This window comes from Homo sapiens, chromosome X (assembly GCF_000001405.40).
Source record: "Homo sapiens chromosome X, GRCh38.p14 Primary Assembly".
NCBI classification, from domain to species: domain Eukaryota; kingdom Metazoa; phylum Chordata; class Mammalia; order Primates; family Hominidae; genus Homo; species Homo sapiens.
The window spans coordinates 70,536,738-70,558,665 of record NC_000023.11 but is presented as its reverse complement, the minus strand read 5'-3'; the positions used below and the strand labels follow the sequence as shown (position 1 = coordinate 70,558,665).

At 38.9% G+C, this 21,928-nt stretch overlaps 1 protein-coding gene across 7 annotated transcripts in view; it reads left to right on the top strand.

The window, feature by feature from the left end:
- Positions 1 to 21,928, top strand: part of TEX11 (testis expressed 11) — a 397,485-nt gene that overhangs the window by 350,046 nt on the left and 25,511 nt on the right. For all 7 annotated transcript variants that reach the window (XM_017029649.1, XM_017029650.1, XM_017029651.2 and 4 more), the window contains 3 exons: positions 3,866 to 4,015; positions 5,252 to 5,360; positions 6,420 to 6,540. In XM_017029649.1, coding sequence (XP_016885138.1) covers positions 3,866 to 4,015; positions 5,252 to 5,360; positions 6,420 to 6,540 — 380 coding nt within the window. The remainder of the gene's footprint in view (positions 1 to 3,865; positions 4,016 to 5,251; positions 5,361 to 6,419; positions 6,541 to 21,928) is intronic.

The following is a 21,928-nucleotide window of genomic DNA, read 5'->3' as shown; positions in this document are numbered from 1 at the left end:
TATATGCCTTGATTTTGCCCCACTCTGTCAATTGTCTTTTCTCTTTCTTGATCATGTCCTTTGAAATACAAAATTCGTTAACTTTGAGGAGGTCCAGTTTATCTATTTTTCTTTCATTGCTTATGCTTTTGATATCATATCTAAGAATCCATTGCCAAATCAAAAGTTATGAAGGTTTACCCCTCTGTTTTCTTCCATGAGTTTTATAGTTTAGCTCTTATCTTTAAATATTTGATCTATTTCGAGTTAATTCTTGTATATGCTATGAGGTGAGGGTCTAACTTCATTCTTTATCATGTGGCTATCCAGTTGTCCCAGAACTATTTGATTAAAAGACTATCCTTTCCCTCATTGGATGGTCTTTGCCCCTTTTGGAAAATCAGTTGACCACAGACACATTGTTTTATTTCTGGGTTGTCAATTCTGTTCCATATATATATATATATCCTTATGTCAGTACCATGCTGTCTTGATTACCATTGCTTTCTATTTTCTTTTTCTTTTCCTTTCTTTTTTGTTGAGACTGAGTCTTGCTCTGTTGCCCAGGCTGGAGTGCAATGGTGCCATCTCGGCTTACTGCAACCTCTGCCTCCTTGGTTCAAGCAATTCTCCTCTCAGCCTCCCAAGTAGCTGGGACTACAGGTGGCCACCACCACATCTGGCTAATTTTTGTATTTTTAGTAGAGACAGGGTTTCACCGAGTTAGCCAGGCTGGTCTCGAACTCCTGACCTCAAGTGATCTGCCCACCTCAGCCTCCCAAAGTGCTGGGACTATAGGCATGAGCCACTGCGCCCAGCCTCCATTGCTTTCTAGTAAGCTTTGAAATCAGGAAGTGTTAGTCCTACAACTTTATTCTTGGTTTTCAAGATTGTTTTGGTTATTCTGGGTCCCTTGAATTTCCATACGAGTTTCAAGATCAACTGTCAGTTTCTGAAAAAAATAACTGAGCTGGGATGCTGATAGGGATTGTGTTGAATCTATAGATAATTTTGGGGAGTGTTATCATCTTAATGATAAATCATCAAATCCATGAACATGGGATATGTTTCCATTTTGTTACATCTTGTTTATTTCAATGATGTTTTATAGTTTTTGTTTATAAGTTACATAACAAAATGGAAACTAAGTTACATAACTTATACACTAAAAACTATAAACGTACACACTAATTCTTTCTTTTTCTTTTTTTTTTTTTGAGACAGAGTCTCACTCTGTTACTCAGACTGGAGTGCAGTGGTGCGATGTCAGCTCACTACAACCTCTGCCTCCCGGGTTCAAGTGATTCTCATGCCTCAGCCTCCTGAGTAGCTGGAATTACACACATGCGCCCCCACACCCGGCTAATTTTTTTTTTTTTTTATAGAGATGGGATTCTGCCATGTTGGCCAGACTGGTCTCAAACTCCTGGCCTCAAGTGATCCACCTGCCTTGGCCTCCCAAAGTGCTGGAATTACAGTTGTGAGCCACTGTGCCTGGTCCTTGTTCTTTATTTCTAAGTATTTTCTTCTTTTTGATGCTGTTATAAAGGGAATTGTTTCAATTTTATTTTCAGCTTACTCATTGCTGCTATATAAAAATAGAATTGGCCAGGTATGGTGGCTCACTTTGGGAGGCCAAGACTGGAGTATCACTTGAGCTCAGGAGTTTGAGACCAGCCTGGGCAACATAGTGAGACCTTGTCTCTAATAAATAAATAAATAAATACTTGATTGTTGTATATTGATCTTGATGAACTTGCTGATTAGTTATAATGGCATTTTACTGGATTCCCTAGGAATTTTATTCACAAGATTATATCATCTTGTGAATAAGATTGATGTTTTTATTCCTTTTGATGCTATTGTAAATGGATTTATTTTGCAGAGCTTCAAAACACTTGAAGCAAAAACTGCTAGAACTAAAATGAGGAATAGACAAATCCATAACTACTTGGAAACTTGAATATTCCTTTCTTAGTAATCAATAGAATAGGTCAACAAATACTCAATAAAGATGTAGAAGACATGAGCAACACTATCAGCCAACTTGACCTAATTGACATTTAGAACACTCTACCCAACAACAGCAGAATACAGTTTTTTCAAATTCACAAGGAACATTCATCATTGTAAGCCATATTCTGAACCACGAAACAAACTTCAAAAAATTTAAAAGTATTGAAATCATAAAATTATTGAAATATCCAAGTATTTTCTCTGACCACAAGAGAATTATATATCTATAATACAAAGTTATCTGTAAAACCTTCCAATATTTGGAAATTAAACAACATACTTTAAAATAATCCAGTAGGCTAAAGAGGAAGTGACAGGGGAAATTAGGAATTTTTTTTAATTGAATGAAGATGAAGACACAACATATAAAAATGTGTAGGCTACAACTAGAGCAGTATCTAGACAAAAGTGTATAGCATTAAATGCTCCTATTAGAAAAAAAAAGAAAGGTCTCAAGTAATCTAAGTCTCCACCTTAAGAAACTAGAAAAAATGAGCAAATTAAACCCAATCAAGCAAAAGAAAAGTAATAAAAATAAGAGCACAGATCAATAAAATTTAAGACAGAAAACAGTAGATAAAGTCAATGAAACCAAAAGTTTTTTTTTCTTTTGAAAAGACCAATACAAATGATAAACCTCTAGCCAGGCAGATCAAGCACAAATTAACAATATCAGGCATAAATGTGGAGACCTCACTAGAGATCCTACAGACATTTTAAAAGGTAATAAGGGAATATTATGAACACTTTTATGTCCATGAATTTAGAATTTTAGGTGAAATGTACAAATTTCTTGAAAGTCACAAACTACCAAAGCTCCCTCAAGAAGAAATATATACTCCTATGCCTATTAATTAAATTCATAGTTTAAAATCTTCCAACAAAGAAAACTGCATTGAAGAATTCTACCTAACATTTAAAGAAGATGTAATACCAACTCTATACAAACTCATCCTGAAAGGAGGGCCCAATTCCCAGTTCATCTTATGAGACTATTATCCTGATACCAGTAGTAGACAAAGACAATATAAGAAACTGCAGACCAAGATTCCTCATGAAAATAGATGCAAAACATAAACGCAGAAAAGCAAAGATAGTTGCTACCTTGGTTGGATGGTATTGACTGGAAAGGAGCACAAAGGAACCTTCTGTATTGTTGGAAGTGTTTGTTATCACAATCTAGGTAGTTATTACACGGGTTTAAACACATGTAAAAACTCATCAAGCTGTTTAAGGTTAGAGCACTTCTTTCAGTTTGTTGTATATATGTCATACCTCAAAACATTTTTCAATGTTCAATCTACCAAGAAGGATGAATGAAAAGTGTCTCACATAGTTTAGTGTATGACACCTGACATGAAATTCTTTCTATGCTGATGCCCAAGAAATTCTGTCGACTAATGAAACAGTTTGGAAACTCTCCTCTATTCTGCTTAAAATAAAGTCACTGTTGGTTTATACAGCACTGTATCTTCTGGTTAACTCGGCCATTAGAGTGAGCACCAGCCCAGTTGAAAGTTCACAAGAAGCAAGTAAACACTGGATTTGATTTAGAATCAATAATAGCAGCAGGGTTTTCTCAGGCTGTTTAGAAGCATCGTGGCAATTGTTTGAGAAAATATAGGTAGTTCTAGTGAATGCGCTACAGAATGTTGGAAGTAGCGGTTAGCTTAGAGATTTTAAAATGTTAGAATCAAATAAAAAACAAAAATAAAATTTAGAATCTGTCTACAGCAGTGAAGATGACCTTCAAATTGTAAGTAAAATTAATATTTCTTAGAAGGAAAACCTCTCCAGTTAGTGAAATTACAACCAAAGAGAATAATATAATATAATCACAAAGAATGTTGCATTTTTGCCTCTTTCTTAGGGACCTTCTCAAATGATTCATGTGAGAAATTGCTTCTGCTGTACGAGTTTGAAGTTAGAGCCAAATTGAATGATCCATTACTGGAAAGCTTCCTGGAATCAGTGTGGGAGTTGCCTCATTTAGAAACTAAAACTTTTGAAACAATTGCAAGTAAGAGCTATATTTATGCTTTTGTAAGGCTGGTGCCCATTTAGATCGTATGACTTTTTTTCTTCTCTTTACTCTTCTTTCTTACCTCCAGGTAGGAAATAATTTTTTCTCATAGCACTTTGTTTCTCCTTCTCTAATGCCATTCTTAGACTATTTTGTATTATGATCATTTGTGCATTTATCTTCTTCACTCTATGAGATTATAATCTCTTTAGGGTCATAAACAATAATTACTTAATTTGTACTTACAAACCCTAGCGAAGTTCATTGCTCCTAATAGGTGCTCAAATTTTTTCTGTGTGGAATTTAATTATGTAACTACACAACAGGGGGAGCTCAAACTTTAGAAAGTTTTTCTGGGCTAGCTAGAAATAACTGAGTGCTTCAACAATCAAAAGTGATGCAATCTTAGCTGTTTGTTGAAATGTACAGAGAAATACTGGTAATATTTTTTAACACAATTGCCACTCTCAAATTTCAGGCCAAACTTTACGTGGGTTTGGGGGCATAGAGCCTTTTTGGGAGTACACTGCAGGAAACAGCCTAATTATCTTCCCTTTTTATCTCTCACCCTCTTCAGGAGCATGTGTGTGGTTAATAAAAATATTAGGTAGCTCCAAGTGCACAAGAGTCACATTTGCCTTTCCTTGGTCTTGCCAAGACAGAATTCCTAGAGCCATGGAGCAGATGATATATACTTTATGGACATGTGACAGCAACCACTGCTCCTTGTATAATGGAACTCCAATTCTAAAAATCTGTTAAATGCATCTGGAAGTCTTAGGGTTAGTTACCTCTGATACTCCCTTGTCAAGTGTTTCCTATTTTTAGTATCAGATAAAAATAGGACATTTTAGTACAAACCTGTTTCAATTAGTGCCCTTTTACTGATCTGCTTTCTGTTTCCTTCTTAGTGTGCCCTTCCTTGACTGTCATTCATAAGATTATTGCTTCACCTGTATGACTGTGTGCAAGGTCATACAAACAGTAGGTTTTCTGTTGATGTTTGCTGAAAAAAGGATGTTACCTGGTAATCCCACCATGCTACTCTGCCCAGAAAGTAGAAGCTATTTCCAAAAGCGACTGTAGATTTATCATTTATAAAATTCATTGTTGTTTATTTTTGTTCATCTGTTTCAGCCCAGTTTCATTAGAGAAAGCAAGTGGTAGCCTGGGATGAAAACTGTGATGGGTGACATTATCATGTTCACAACCTTTTTCCTTTTCTTACTCTAGTAATAGCAATGGAAAAGCCTGCACACTATCCTTTGATTGCTCTCAAGGCCTTGAAAAAGGCTTTATTGCTCTACAAAAAGGAAGAACCAATTGATATATCACAATACAGGTTAGTAAATACAATCCAGCCTTTTTGCTAGCCAAAAGAACTATAGTCAATGCCTCAAAAGTAACCAATCGTTCTTAATTGACTCAACTTTAAAGATGATATGGGGATGATCTGGGGGCATTCTTGTGAACAGCTCCATACTGAGAGTTGTATTACAGACCAATAATTATTTAGCAAAGTCAAGGAGCTTGGTTTTCCCAAAGGAGAAAAAAAAGGGGAAAAGTTGCTTCTTTGTGTGAATCTGTGTATATAATAAAACTGCTAAGTACCTTTCTTTCTTTGTTTCATCACTAAATAATATTCCAAATGTACAGAAAAGCACAGGGGTTAATATAACAAACACCAACGTATCCACCACCCAGATTTATTTGTTTTATTTTTAGAGATGGGGTCTCGTGATGTTGCCCAGGCTGGATTCAAACTCCTGGGCTCAAATGATTCTCCACCTCAGCTTCATGAGTAGCTGGGATTACAGGCACGCAGCACCCAGATTTAACAAATGTTAACATCTTGCTATGTTTGCCTCATTATTTTTCTAAGCACTTTAAGCACCGATAAGTGCTGTATAAAATATTATCTATTGGAGACTTTTTTGTTTTCTGTGTCCAGACATGGGGAAAAATAGATGTTGTGTGACTTTTTTTGTCTGGAAAACATCATTACAGTCTTCCTGTGTTAAGGCACGAAAGACAGTTCTTGTGGAATCATTCCACTTTAAACCCCAGTTCCCTTGCCCATTTGAGGAAGTACCGAGATGCTTTAAAATGCCTGTAAATTGAACCAGCTCATAAAATATAATAGACAGCCACAACTCCTTCGTGCAGGAAACTAAAAAAAGAATGAAAGACAACCATAGGCATGAAAAAAGAAAGGATTGGTCAACCTGTTTTACAGCTTCAAAAATCTGTCTTCTGAGGTTGGAGGCCAGATAAAACCGAGGGAAGAACAGAAGTGTTTTGAAGCTGTTAGTCTGGGATGAGATCCAGGTTTTACTTATCTTAGCCATGAAGCCAATGATTTCTTTCCTTATGGGATGAGTTTTCTCTTTTTGATTTTCAGCAAATGTATGCACAACTTGGTTAACCTCTCAGTGCCAGATGGGGCGTCGAATGTAGAGCTCTGTCCCCTGGAAGAAGTTTGGGGCTATTTTGAAGATGCTCTGAGCCACATTAGCCGCACTGTAAGTCAAATAGTGATATTAAACTTTCAGTTAATTTTAAAGAACTGAACTGTCTTGTGTACTATAAATTATATACAATAATGCTTTCTGATATGAGTTTTAGGATAAATTCATATTACAATTTTGTAGTTACACACTACAGAATTTTCCTGGGTTTCTGAAATATAAATAGTTGAAAGTAGACATTTTCTAACACAAGTGTATTATGGATTAGGTCCAAGTAGCAGTACCACCAGGCATTTTGAATTATTTTATATTTTCAAATCATGGTGGGATGATTACTTTCTCTGTGATGATATGAACCTTTTGAAAAAAGTTATTGCTATTCCCATCCTTTCTCAGAAGCATCCTTTCTCAGAAGAGTAGAAGGAACATTGAAGACCTGTATTCTAGTCCCTCCTCTGCTGATTTCTTTTTCTTTTCTGTGCAGGTTTATTCAGTTGTTTTAAAATTAGGTTTCTTGAGGTATAATTCACATATCATAAAATTCACCCATGGCTTGTGCACAATTCAGTAAATTTATAGAGTTGTGCAACTATCACTACAATCCAGTGTTTTTTAGTTTTAAAAATGTTTTATTTTTAATTTTTGTGGGTACATAGCGGTGTACATGTACCCATACTTATGGGGTACATGAGATTTTTTGGTACAGGCATATAATGCATAATAATCATATCAGGATAAATGGGGTATCCATCACCTCAAGCATTTATCCTTTGTGTTACAAGCAATTCAATTATACTTTTAGTTTTTTAAAATGTACAATTAAATTATTGTTGATTATAATCACCCTGTTGTGCTATTAAGTACAGATCTTATTCATTCTATTTTTTGTACCTATTAACCATTTCCACATTTCCCCCACCCCTCCTCTGGTAACCATCACTCTACTCTTTCTCTCCCCAGCAGTTCAATTATTTTAATTTTTAGCTTTCACAAATAAGTGAGAACATGTGAAGTTTGTTTTTTGTGTGTGTGCTGGGCTTATTTCACTCAACATACTGACCTCCAGTTCCATCCATGTTGTTGCAAGTGACTGGATCTTATTTTTTTTATGGCTGAATAGTACTCCATTGTGTATAGGTACCACATTTTCTTTATCCATTCATCTGTTGATGGACACTTAGGTTGCTTGCAAATCTTAGCTATTGTAAACAGTGCTGCAACAAACATAGGAGTGCAGATACCTCTTTGATATACTGATTTCCTTTCTTTTGGGTATATATCCAGTAGTGGGATTGCTGGATCATACGGTAACTCAATTTTTCGTATTTTGAGGAACCTCCGAACTGTTCTCCATAGTGGTTGTACTAATTTACTTTCCCACCAACAGTGTGCAAGGGTTCCCTTTTCTCCACATCCTCACCAGCACTTCCTATTATTGCCTGTCATTTGGATATAAGCCATTTTAACTGGGGTGAGATGATATCTCACTGTAGTTTTGATTTGCAGTTCTCTGATGATCAGTGATAGTAAGTACCTTTTCATATGCCTGTTTGCCATTTGTTTGTCTTCTTTTGAGAAATGTCTATTCAGATATTTTCCTTATTTTAAAACTCGATTATTAGATTTTTTTTCCTATAGAGTTGTTTGAGCTCTGTATATATTCTGGTTATTAATCCCTTATCAGAGGGGTAGTATGTAAATATTTTCTCTCATTCTGCAGGTTGTCTCTTCACTTTGTTGATTGTTTCCTTTGCTGTGCAGAAGCTTTTTAGCTTGATGTGATCCCATTTGTCCATTTTTGATTTGGTTGCCCATACTTGTAGGATATTGCTCAAGGAATCTTTGCCTACTCCAATATCCTGGAGAGCTTTCCCAATATTTTCTTGTAGTAGTTTCATAGTTTGAGGTGTTCGATTTAAGTCTTTAATCCATTTTGATTTGATCTTTGTATAAGGCAAGACATAGGGATCTCAACTTTCCTCCTTCTGCATATGGATATCCAGTTTTCCCAGCACCATTTATTGAAGAGACTCTTCTTTCCCCAAAGTATGTTCTTGGCACCTTTGTCAAAAATGAGTTCACTGTAGATGTATGGATTTATTTCTGGGTTTGCTATTCTGTTCCACTATGTTGAGCTGCCTGGGGCTGGAGGAGGGGTGATACAAGCACCCTTGTGGCCACTGCCACTGGGACTGTGCTGGTCAGACCTGAAGCCAGCACAGCACTGGGTCTCACCCAAGGCCCACTGTAACCACTACCTGGCTACCACCTATGTTTGCTCAATGCCTTAGGGCTCTACAGTCAGCAGGTGATGAAGCCAGCCAGGCTGTCCTTCCCTTCAGGGCAGCAACTTCCCCCTGGCCCCAGAGATGACATGCAGGAGCCAGGGCCTGGAGTCAGAAACCCTAGAAATCTACCTAGTGCTCTATTCTACTGCAGCTTAGCTGGTATCCAAACCACAAGACAAAGTCCTTCCCACTCTTTCCTCTTTCCACACGCAGAAGAGTCTCTCCCCGTGGCCACCACCATCAGGTGGTGTGGGGAGTTCTGCTGGGCTACTGCCAGTGTTCACTTAAGGCCCAAGGGCTCTGCAATCAGCTTGTGGTGAATGCTGCCAGGCCTGGGACTCATACTTCAGAGAAGTGGGCTCCTCTCTGGCCCAGGACAGGTACAGAAATGCCATCCAAGAGCCAAGGCCTGGAACCGGGGACCCTAGGAGCCCACTTGGTGCTCTAACCCACTGTGGCTGAGTTGATATCTAAGCTGCAATACAAAATCCTCTTTACTCTTCCCTCTGCTTTTCTCAAGCAGAAGGAGTCTCTCCTCATAGCCACCACAGCTGGGAATGTACTGGGTCACAACTGAAGCCAGCATGTCTCAGAGTCTCACCTAAGGCCCACAGTATGTACTACCTGGCTACTGCTGCTGATCACTGAGGGCCAAAGTGCTATTTAGTCAGCAGGTGATGAATCCTGCCGAGACTGGGTCCTTCCCTTCAAGGCAGTGGGTACCTTTTAGCCCGAGGTGTGTCTCAAAATGTTATCTGGGAACTAGGTCCTGGAATGGGACCTTCATGACTATGCCAAGTGCCCTGTCCTACTGTGGCTGAGCTGGTATCCAAGATGCAAGACAAAGTCCCCCTTAAGCTTCCCTCTCCTCTCCTCTAGTGGAAGGAAGGGGTCTGTTTTGGAGCTGCAAACTGCACTGCCTGGGGTTGAGGGAGGGGTCGTGCAATCACTCCCTTGGCTGCCCTGGCTGGTGTCTCACTAGGTCGCATGTCCCCCAGATGCACTGGCTCCAAGCCCAGCACAGCACAAAGATTTGCCCAGGAGTTGCAGTCCTTGTGGCCTAGACTGCCTCTCAAATTTATTTAGAACCCCAGAGCACTTTAGCTCTCAGTGGCAAGGCTTGTTGGAACTCAAGTTCCAACTACTGGGATGGACAATTGCTCTCTAGCTAGGGCTGGTCTAAATACTCCCTCCATGAGCATCAGTTGAGTTCTGCCCAGTGTTACTTTCTGCTGTGACAGGGCAGCACTGAGTTCCAAGCAAGATCCCACAATCACTGTGCTCTCCCTTCCACAAGCACACAGATTCGCCATGCCATGCAGCCACTGTTGGGGCATAGGAGAGGGGTGGCATTGGCAGTTCAAGATTGTCCTTCCTACACTCTTCAGTGGCTCTTTCGGTGATACGAAGTTAAAACCAGGTGCTGTGATCACTCACCTGATTTTTTATTATTATTTTTTAAATTTTATTATTATTATACTTTAAGTTTTAGGGTACATGTGCACAATGTGCAGGTTTGTTACATATGTATACATGTGCCATGTTGGTGTGCTGCACCCATTAACTCATCATTTAGCATTAGGTATATCTCCTAATGCTATCCCTCCCCACTCCCCCCACCCCACAACAGGCCCCGGTGTGTGATGTTCCCCTTCCTATGTCCATGTGTTCTCATTGTTCAATTCCCACCTATGAGTGAGAACATGTGGTGTTTGGTTTTTTGTCCTTGCGATAGTTTGCTGAGAATGATGGTTTCCAGCTTCATCCATGTCCCTACAAAGGACATGAACTCATCATTTTTTATGGCTGCATAGTATTCCATGGTGTATGTGTGCCAATTTTCTTAATCCAGTCTATCATTGCTGGACATTTGGGTTGGTTCCAAGTCTTTGCTATTGTGAACAGCGCTGCAATAAACATACGTGTGCATGTGTCTTTATAGCAGCATGATTTATAGCCCTTTGGGTATATACCCAGTAATGGGATTGCTGGGTCAAATGGTATTTCTAGTTCCAGATCCCTGAGGAATTGCCACACTGACTTCCACAATGGTTGAACTAGTTTACAGTCCCACCAACAGTGTAAAAGTGTTCCTGTTTCTCCACATCTTCTCCAGCACCTGTTGTTTCCTGACTTTTTAATGATCGCCATTCTAACTGGTGTGAGATGGTATCTTATTGTGGTTTTGATTTGCATTTCTCTGATGGCCAGTGATGATGAGCATTTTTTCATGTGTATTTTGGCTGCATAAATGTCTTCTTTTGAGAAGTGTCTGTTCATATCCTTTGCCCACTTTTTAATGGGGTTGTTTGTTTTTTTCTTGTAAATTTGTTTGAGTTCATTGTAGATTCTGGATATTAGCCCTTTGTCAGATGAGTAGGTTGCAAAAATTTTCTCCCATTCTGTAGGTTGCCTGTTCACTCTGATGGTAGTTTCTTTTGCTGTGCAGGAGCTCTTTAGTTTAATTAGATCCCATTTGTCTGATTTTTTATTCTTAATTTTTGTGTAGATAGTTATTAAATTTGGTGTTCCTGCAGAGAGGATGATTGGTGGAGGCTTCTAATCAGCCATCTTGCTCCGTCCTTCCTCCCACAATCCAGTTTTAGAACATTTCCATTACCCTAGAAATTTTCCCCTTGCCCATTTGCAGACAATTCTTGCTCCCACCTTCAGCTCCAGGCAACCACAGATCCGCTTTCTGTCTCTGTAGATTTTCTCTTTCTGGACACATCATATAAATGAAATTATATAATACGTGGCCTCTTGTGTCTGGCTTATTTCATTGAGCATAACGTTTTTGAGGTTCGTCCATGTTGTAGCATTATCAGTATTCCATTCCTTTTTTTTTTTTTTTTTTTTTTTTTGCTGAATAATATTCTAGGGAATGGATATAACACACTTTGTTTATCTGTTCATCAGTTCATAGATATTTGAGTTGTTTCCACTTTTTGGCTATCATGAATAATGCTACTATAAATATTCATGTGCAAGTGTTTTTGTGAGCATATGTGTTTAATTCTCTTGAATATATACCTAGGAATGGAATTGTTGGGTCATCAGGTAAATCTATGTTTAACTTTTGGAGGAGCTGCAGTCTGTTTGCCAAAGTGGCCATACCATTTTACATTTTCACTAGCGGTGTATGAGGATTCCAGCTTCTCTACATTCTCAACACTTGCTATTGTTCATCTTTTCTTTTTTTTGTTATAGCCATTGTGGTTTTGATTTATATTTCCTTGATGGCTAATGGTGATGATCATTTTTTCATGTACTTATTGACTGTTCGTGTATTGTGTTTGGATAAATGTCTATTCAATTATTTTCCCATTTTTAAAATGGAATTTTTTATTGAGTTATAAGAGTTCTTTATATATTCTGGATACAAGTCCTTTACCAGATATGTGATTTGTAAGTATTTTCTCCTAGTCTCTGGCTTGTTTTTTCATTTTCTTAAGGGTATCATTTGAAGAGCCAAAGTTTTTAATTTTGATGAAGTCCAATCTATCAATTTTTTCTTTTGTGGGTAGTGTTTTGGTCATGCTGAGAAATCTTTGCCCAACCCACGTTTACAAAGATTTTTTCCTACGTGTTTCTGTAGAAGTTTTATACTTTTATCTCTGACATGTAGCTCTATGATTCATTTTAAATTTTGTTATAGTGTGAGGTAGGGTCTAAATGATGTTTTGTTTGTTTGCTGTTGCATATTAATATCACTCCTCTGCTGTTTGACTTCAGTTTTCACATTTGTAAAGTGGGAATAATACCTGATCTGACTCTCCCACACTGGGGTTGTAAGGATCAATGAAAATAATGTATGTTTTGTAAACTTTAACAGCTTGTACACATGTAAGGCAGTATTGTTATTATAAGAGAGCTATAAAACATTAAGAACACTACATGCCTTGCTTAAAGTTACACAGAAAGTCATTATTTGAGTCCATGTTAATATCTGAGGATCCTGACTGCTCTTGACTCAACTACTTCTTAATATATAAATATAGTCATGTGCCACATAATGACATTTCATAATATATAATGGTGGTCCTGTAAGATTATAATGGAGCTGAAAAATTCCTGTCACCTAGTGACATCATAGCCATCGTAAGGCAACACATTACTCACATGTTTGTGGTGATGCCAGTGTTAAGAAAACTTACTGAACTGCCAGTCATATAAAAGTACAGCACATACAATTAGATACAGTCCATAATTCTTGTTAATGATATAACAAATTACTATGTTACTGTTTCATGTATTTACTATACTTTTATCATTATTTTAAAGTATATTCCTTTTATTTATAAAAGAAAGTTAAAACTGTAAGGCAGCTTCAGGCAAGTCCTTCAGGAGATATTCCAGAAAATGGCATTATCATCCTAGGAAATGACAGCTCCATGTATGTTTTGCCCAAGAAGCCTTTCCAGCAGGACAAGATGTGGAGGTGGGAGACAGTGATATTGATGATCCTGGCCCTGGGTAGGCCTAGGTTAAAATATGTGTTTGTGTCTTAGTTTTTATCAAAAAGTTTTAAAAGTTTTTTAAAAAATTAAAAATAGGAAAACACTTATACAATAAGGAGATAAAGAAAATATTTTTGTACAACTGTATAATGTGTTTGTGTTTTAAGCTAAATGTTATTACAAAAGAGTCAAAAAGTTGGGGTTTTTTGTTTTGTTTTTGTTTTTTTGAGACAGAGTCTTGCTCTGTCACCCAGGCTGGAGTGCCATGGCGCAATCTCGGCTCACTGCAACATCTGCCTCCCGGGTTCAAGCAGTTTTCCTGCTTCAGCCTCCCAAATAGCTGAGACTATAGGTGCATGCCACCACACCCGGCTAATTTTTGTATTTTTACTGGAGACGAGGTTTCACCACATTGGCCAGGCTGGCCTCAAGCTCCTGACCTCAAGTGATTGTCCCACTTCAGCCTCCCAAAGTGCTGGGATTACAGGAGTGAGCCAGCATGACTGGCCAAAAAAAAAATTTTTTTTTTAATTAAAAAGGTTTTTTTTGGGTTTTTTTGTTTGTTTTTTTGGGTTTTTTTTTTTTTTTTTTTTTTGAGATGGAGTCTCGCTGTCACTGACGCTGGAGTGCGAAGGCACAATCTCGGCTCACTGCAACCTCTGCCTCCCAGGCTCAAGTGATTCTCCTGCCTCAGCCTCCCAAGTAGCTGGGATTACAGGCGTGTGCCACCACATCTGGCTAATTTTGTATTTTTAGGAGAGACAGGGTTTCACCATGTTGGTCAGGCTGGTCTCAAACTCCTGACCTCAAGTGATCCATCCGCCTCGACCTCCCGAAGTGCTGGGATTACAGTTTATAAAGGAAAAAAGTTGCAGTAAGACAAGGTCAATTTATATTTATATATTTTTTGAGACAAAGTCTCTGTCACCCAGGCTGGAGTGCAGTGGCATGATCTCAGCTCACTACAGCTTTGACCTCCCAGGTACAATCAATCCTCCCACCTCAGCCTCCTGAGTAGCTGGGACCACACGTGCGCACCACCACACCCAGCTAATTTGTTTGTATTTTTAGTAGAGACAGGGTTTCACCATGTTGCCCAGGCTGGTCTCAAACTCAGGTTCAAGTAATTTGCTCAAGTAATCTGCCCACCTTGGTCTCCCAAAGTGCTGAGAATACAGGTGTGAGCCACCACACCTGGCCAAAGTTAATTTATTATTAAGAAAGAAAAATACCCTTTAATAAACTGAGTGCAGCTTAGGTATACAGTGTTTATAAAGTCTGCAGTAATGTACAAGAATGTCCTACACCTTCATGTTCACTCACCACTCACTCACTGACTCACCCAGAGCAACTTGTAGTCCTGCAAGCTCTATTCATGGTTAGTGCCCTATACAGGAGTACCATTTTTTATCTTTCATACCACATTTTTCCTCTACCATTTCTATGTTTAGATACACAAATACTTACCTCTGGGTTACAGTTGCCTACAGTAGTCAGTAGAGTCACATGCTGTATGGGTTTGTAGCCTAGGAGCAATGGGCTTTACCATATCGCCTAGGTGTGTAGGAGGCTATACCATATAAGTTTGTGTAAGGACACTCTATGATATTCACACAATGACGAAATCACCTAATGATACATTTCTCAGCTTGTGTCCCCATTGTGAAGTGAGACATGACTATCTGCAAATCACAACAGATGGTGGAACATTATAGCAGGGTGACAATCTGATACAAACTAGCATTGACTTACCAAAGCCTAGAATTCTCCTGGAGATGTGTAATTATGGCCTGTGTGAATTTAAGTTTAAAAATAAAAACTTCAACATTGGACATTTGGATTATTTATTTTACTGTCTTCTCGGATGAATAGGAAATTCTATTTCTAAGCCATGAGCCTCATCTGGACCTTTCAGGTGTGTTTGCCATAGTGACCAATACAAACTGAAATTAGATTGTACTATAACTCCAAGTTGATCAATTTCCATAGTCTCTCTATAAGGCCAAAATTTCTCTGTGCATTTTGTTTTTGCCACTTTCATTCTGTCCAATATATTGCAGTTCCAATTCTCTGGCTCTTGGGTTACCTGTTAGAGAGCTTAATGTTTTTCTACTTTTCTCATGAGTTTCCCATCCATTTATTGCTCATCCCCTGAAACATGACTGGATAGTTAGCTTTTTAATGCAGTGATTAATTTATTTTTTAATTTTTTAATTTTTATTTATTTATTTTTTATTTATTTATTTTTTTGAGACGGAGTCTCGCTGTGTCGCCCAGGCTGGAGTGCAGTGGCGCGATCTCGGCTCACTGCAAGCTCCACCTCCCAGGTTCACGCCATTCTCCTGCCTCAGCCTCTTGAGTAGCTGGGACTACAGGCACCCGCCACCACACCCGGCTAATTTTTTTGCATTTTTAGTAGAGACGGGGTTTCACCGTATTAGCCAGGATGGTCTTGATCTCCTGACCTTGTGATCCGCCCACCTCGGCCTCCCAAAGTGCTGGGATTACAGGCGTGAGCCACCGCGCCCAGCCTGCAGTGATTAATTTAATAACCCTCTTGGCTCTTTATATTATATATGTTGCTTTATCCTATTTGATTGAATGTGCCGTGCATCTCCTTTGTTTCAAATGCTTGGGACAAAATTCTGCCTTTGTTTGACTGACTTTTTTAATGACCAGTCACTCATTCATTATTCACTGAGCAGATAACCTTTATCAAGTGCCTCCACACACTGGCAAAATGGCTATCATACAAATATAAAACCTCATGCCTCACAATATTATGCTTTAGACTGAGCAGAGTACTCTTACGTCCACTCTCTCGTACAACCTCCAACAGCAATTATAGAAGTAGACAATGCTGCTATTGTTATCCCTAATTTATCAATGAGGGAATTTTAAGATTCAAAAAGTCAAGTAACCAATTTACCTAAGGTCATTCATGACTAATGAGTGAGAGTCAGGACTAGAATGCAGGTCTTCTGAGCTCCTGTCTTAGTCAATTCGGGCTGCTATAACAAAAATACCATAGAGTGGGTGGATCATAAATAACAGAAATTTATTTCTCACAGTTTGGGAGGATAGAAAGTCCAAAATCAAGACACTGGCAGATTCAGTGTCCAGTGAGGGTCTGCTTCCCCATAGACGGTCCTTTCTGACTGTAAGCTCACATGGCAGAAGGGGTAAAGGATCTCTCTAGGGTCTCTTTTATAAGGGCACTAATCCTATTCATGAGAGCACTCCTCTTATGACCTTATCACCTCCCAACAGCCCCACCTCCTAATATCATCACCTTGGAGGTTAGGATTTTAACATACTAATTTTGAAGGGACACAAACATTCAGTCCGTTGCACATCAACTACAGGGCTGTTTCCACTGGAGGTGCGTGGCTTCTTTACCAGTTTTTGCTAGGAAATTTTAGTTTAAAGGAGAAGCTCAAGTTGATATTTAGAAGCTAGTGGTAATGAAAAAGCAGGGAGATGACTCCCAGGCTTAAGCAGACAAACCTATCAACCTATGTAGGTTCATATTCTAGATAATTTTTAAGAAGAAGTCGATTGTTCAAGTTTTTTTAAATCAAAATTTTATTTTGAAATAATTGTAGATTTACACGCATTTGTAAGAAATAACACAGAGAGATCTCGTGTACTCTTTTTATTGTTTGTTTGTTTTTGAGACAGAGTCTCGCTCTGTCACCCAGGCTGGAGTGCAGTGGCGCCATCTCGGCTTACTGCAACCTCCGCCTCCCAGGTTCAAGCGATTCTCATGCCTCAGCCTCCCAAGTAGCTGGGACTACAGGCAAATGCCACCATGCCTGGCTAAATTTTTTTGTATTTTCGGTAGAGATGGGTTTTCACCATGTAGGACAGGCTGGTCTCGAACTTCTGGCCTCAAGTGATCTGCTCGCCTTGGCCTCCCAAAGTGCTCATGTACTCTTTACCCAGTTTCCCCCAACGATAACAAAACTATAGTACAACATCACAATCAAGATGTTGGCATTATCACAATCAAGACATAGAGCATTGCATTTCTGTCACCACAAGTATTCCTCATGTTTCCTTTGTATAGCCCTCACACTCTTCTCTCCCACTCTCAGCTCCTCCTTAAACCCTGACAACCGCAAATCTATTACCAATTTCTATAATTTTGTCATTTCAAGCATGTCATATAAATGTGATCAAACAGTATATAGCTTTTGAGATTTGGAATCATACAGTACATAACTTTTTGAGATTGGCTTTTTTTGAGACAGGGTCTTGCTCTGTCACCCAGGCTAGAGTGCAGTGAAGCTGATCATAGCTCAGCCTCAGCCCCCCAGGCTTAAGCGATCCTCCCACCTCAACTCCCCGAGTAGCTGGGACCACAGGCATGCACCACCAAGCCCAGCTAATTTTTTAATTTTTTTGTAGAGATGGTCTCAAACTCCTGGACTAAGCGATCCTCCCTCCTTGGCCTCCCAAAGTGCTGGGATTATAGGCATGAGCCACCACACCTGGCCAAGATTGGTTCTTTTCACTTAGCATAATTCTCTAGAGATTCATCAAGTCATTGTTTGTTACAAAAGGACAAATATTGTATCCTTCTATTTATATGAAGTACCCAGAGTGGTCAAATTCATAGAGATGGACACCTGCAGGGGAGGCTCCCCAGGAAGAGCTGACTGGGTGTTTAATGGCCTCTTCTTGCAGGCTCAAGATTGACCTTAGCTTGGAGTCACTGGGCTTGAGCTTCTATTTCCCAGTCAGGGTTGTTCACTCAGTTTTACATGAGAAAATACTCAGTGTTTGAAGAATCCAGCAAAATTACTCAAACTCAGTGTTTATGGAAGGGAATAAAATAGTAAGGCATTTACATTTTATATCTCCATAAACAAGCAAAAGTGTCTATCTCTTTCAGACAACAAACATGTCATTTAATTATCTCCATAATAAAAAAAATTATTTAATAAACAATTGAAAAAAAAAGAAAGTAAAGTGGTAGTCACCAAGGACTGGGGTTATTACATAATGGGTACAGATCTTTAGCTTTGCAAGATGAAACTGGTTCTGGAGATGGATGGTAGTGATGATAGCACAACAATGTGAATGTACTTAACGCCACTAAACTGTTCACTTAAAATGATTAAGATGGTTAAATTTTGTGCTATATGTATTTTACCCCATTTTTTAAGTCATAGAAAAGAATCTTTGTCAGGTATCGTAACATTTCTGTCATCTCAGTGTTGGCATCAATTCATTGTCTTTTTTCGTTATTTGAGATCTTCCTGATTATTGGTATAATGAGTAAATTTGTTAAACCTGGACAATTTCATATTTTGTTCTGAGACTCTGGATCTCATTTAAACCTTCTGTTTTAACTTGGTTTCTCTGACCTGCTTTAGCAAGGGAGTGGGCCCAGCCTTGTTACTTCCAGGTAGAAGTAGAAACAAGCCTAAGTTTCTAACTTGACCTCCATCATTGATACTCAAGGTAGAGGACTCCTTTTTACTACTGGTCCCTTGGCTAGAGACAGCAGACTTTTCTTGGGGCTTTTTTCTTTCTTTTTCTTTTTGGGTCTATGTCTGTTGGCATCTCTAGCACCAAGTTTGGGGTATATGAAGCAAAAAGAAAACCCAGAGAACTTATCACTGTGTCAATCCTTGGCTCCAAGGTCTTCCCTTTCTCTACACCTTTCAGAGGTTTCTTATGTTTGTTTTATGTATAATGTTCAAGAGTTAGTTTTATTTAGCAGGAAGAATAGGGATAAGTACATTTATTCCATCTCATGGAAGTGGAAATTTCTTGGTTCATTTTTAAGAATATACAAAGACTTAAATAATGGTGGGGGGGAAACCTACACTTAAAGAGAAGGGACAAACCTAATCCTCACAGCTGATGTCAGAGTCACAGAGTCACAAAGGCGTTTTGTAACCAAGAAGCCCAGAAGAACACAGACTCTTTCCTTTTACAAGGGAAGCTAAGGTGATTCAAACTACTGAGCTACATTCTCTAAGAGTTTGCTTCCCAAAGCGTGATCAGCATCCCCTAGGAGCTTGTTAGAAGCATGGAATCTTAGGCCCCAGACCTACTGAATCAGTCTGCGTTTTAACTATACTTCCGGCCGGGCACGGTGGCTCATGCCTGTAATCCTAGCACTTTGGGAGGCCGAGGCGGATGGATTACTTGAGGTCAGAGTTCAAAACCAGCCTGGCCATCATGGTGAAACCCTGTCTCTACTAAAATTACAAAAGTTAGCCGGGCGTGGTGGTAGGCGCCTGTAATCCCAGCTACTTGGGAGGCTGAGGCCGAAGAATTGCTTGAACCTAGGAGGCGGAGATTGCAATGAGCCAAGATCACACCACTGCACTCCAGCTTGGGCAACAGAGTGAGACTCCATCTTAAAAAAAAAAAAAATATATATATATATATATATTTCCAAGTGTCTTGTATGCACATTAAAGTTTGAGAAGGTCATTTATCAGTATCTTTTGTCTCTTGTTTGGCCTTCTACTTGTTCAATTTCATCTCAGTTCCTACTTCTGCCAATCTTATATAAGTTCATAGATTAGGCAATTGGGATCTAAAGGAAATATAAGGTAAAGCTTCATTCAATGACTGAGAAAATTTAGAACTGGAAACTAATGATCTTTGCAGTTACCTAATTTAAGCTCATTATTTTGCAAATTGAGGCATTGAAAGGTTAAATATCTGACACAAGGTCATACCACTATATAATGGCAAAGCTAAAAATTGCAGCCGTGTTATTTCTTCATAGGACAATGGTCCTTGGGTTTTCTTTCATCTATTTTTTAATAAAATTTTTTTAATTGAGAGGAGGTCTTACTATGTTGCCCAGGCTGGTCTCAAATTCCTGGGCTCAAGCAATCCTCCTGCCATGTCCTCTCAAAGTGCTGGGATTACAGGTGTGAGCCCCTGCACCCAGCCTTCTTTCATCTAAATCTTCCTCCTTCCAAGCCTCACGTCTCCCTGAGACTGGAATTGAGGTTCATACAAAGCCATCTTTGAGTCAGACTTTGATATTGTGTCTCTCCTACAGCTTTGTAGTTTCCTAATTGGTCTCTGGCTCTTTCTTCTCTTCTCCATTTTTTCCTGTTCATCCCTATCAAATATATCTCCGTAAAACACAACTTTTGCTCTATCACTCCCTTTCCCTCAAATCTTTTAACAACTCTGTATTTCCCAAATCCTTACCTAGACCCTTAAGGCTATCTATCCATAACCTCATTCAACCCCCAAAACAAGACAGAGTTTTTCCCAGGCAATAGTCAATATTCTCTTTATCATCAACCTTCACCTCCTTCTCTCCCTTCTTCTTAGAACAAAGCAGAATCTTCCCTGAAGAAAACGTGTCCCTCACTACGAATTTTTATGGAGGTCTCATCTTTTCCAACTCCCTTTTTCTCAGCAGAAGGGACTAAATTACCTGGATCTTTGCTCCATGGTGGCACTTTGTACTATTTATATACCACCTTCCTACGGCTTCTCTTCACTTAAAACCTATATCTCTTCATCACCAATGTTGTCATGTCCTGGACCCACCTTTTCCTTCCTTGGTAACTTCATTGTTATTTATTATCCTAAGTGACTTTGGCATCCATGTTAGCAATTCTTGTACCTCACAGTTTCCGTTTTTCACTTTTTAGCCACTGTCTACCTCCCATATAAGCCACCCACTGTGGCACTGCTCCATCTTCAAGATTGGTAACTAACGCAACACTTTTCTATTGAGTCTAATCTCCCTTACTTCCCCATATCTATTCTCTGTTCTCACTTGAACTTCAAATCACTCGTCTTTTCCCACTCTATTATAGTCCAGTCTAACTACCTTTTTTTTCTTTTTCTCTTTCTTTTCCTTTCTTTCTTTCTCTTTTCTTTATTTCTTTATTTGCTTCCTTCCTTCTTCCCTCCCTTCTTTCCTCCCCTTCCTTCTCTCTTTCTCTCTTCTTTTGATTATTCCTGCTGTTTCATTTTTTTCCAAACCTGGTACCTTGCCACCATCAGTTCTTCTGCTCCTGATCTTGAGCAGCAGAAGCACTAAAGAAAGTTACAGAACCATCTAGATCTGGCCCAGTACAGATTCATTCTGTTAAGCTTTCAGTGGGTTCTCATTGCTGCTCAGAAATTCTTTTATTCTTGTCAACTTTTTGGCAAACTCAAGTAAAGTGGCTGCTTCAAACCTTTTCTAATCTCGTAAAAACTTAGACCTACCTCATTCCCCATTAGATGATCTCATCATATCATTTCAGTTGAGAAGATCAAGGGCATCACATATGAGATCCCTCATTGGCCCATGTCTCAACCATAACATTCTACCACTGTACCTACCTACTCACCTTTCCTCTTTTTTCAAAAGAAATTTTCTCAACCTTGCACTGTCAGTTCAATCCCCTTCTACTTCCTGAGGCATTTTACTGCCTGTCCATCATTTTTACTCTCTGCCTACAGATGGTTCCATTCTGCTTTCAAGAATGCATAAGTCTCAAACAAATGGAAATATATACCATGTTCTTGGACAGGAAAGCCCTAACAGTATAAAGTCAGTTTCCCTAAATTCAATGCAATAAATTCAGTCAAAATTAAAATCTCAATAGGATTTTTAATGAAACTTGATGATTCTAAAATTCTTCCCTAAAAGAAAATGAACCAAAACATTTTTTGTAAAAGAACAAGGAAGGACTTGCCTTATCAAATACT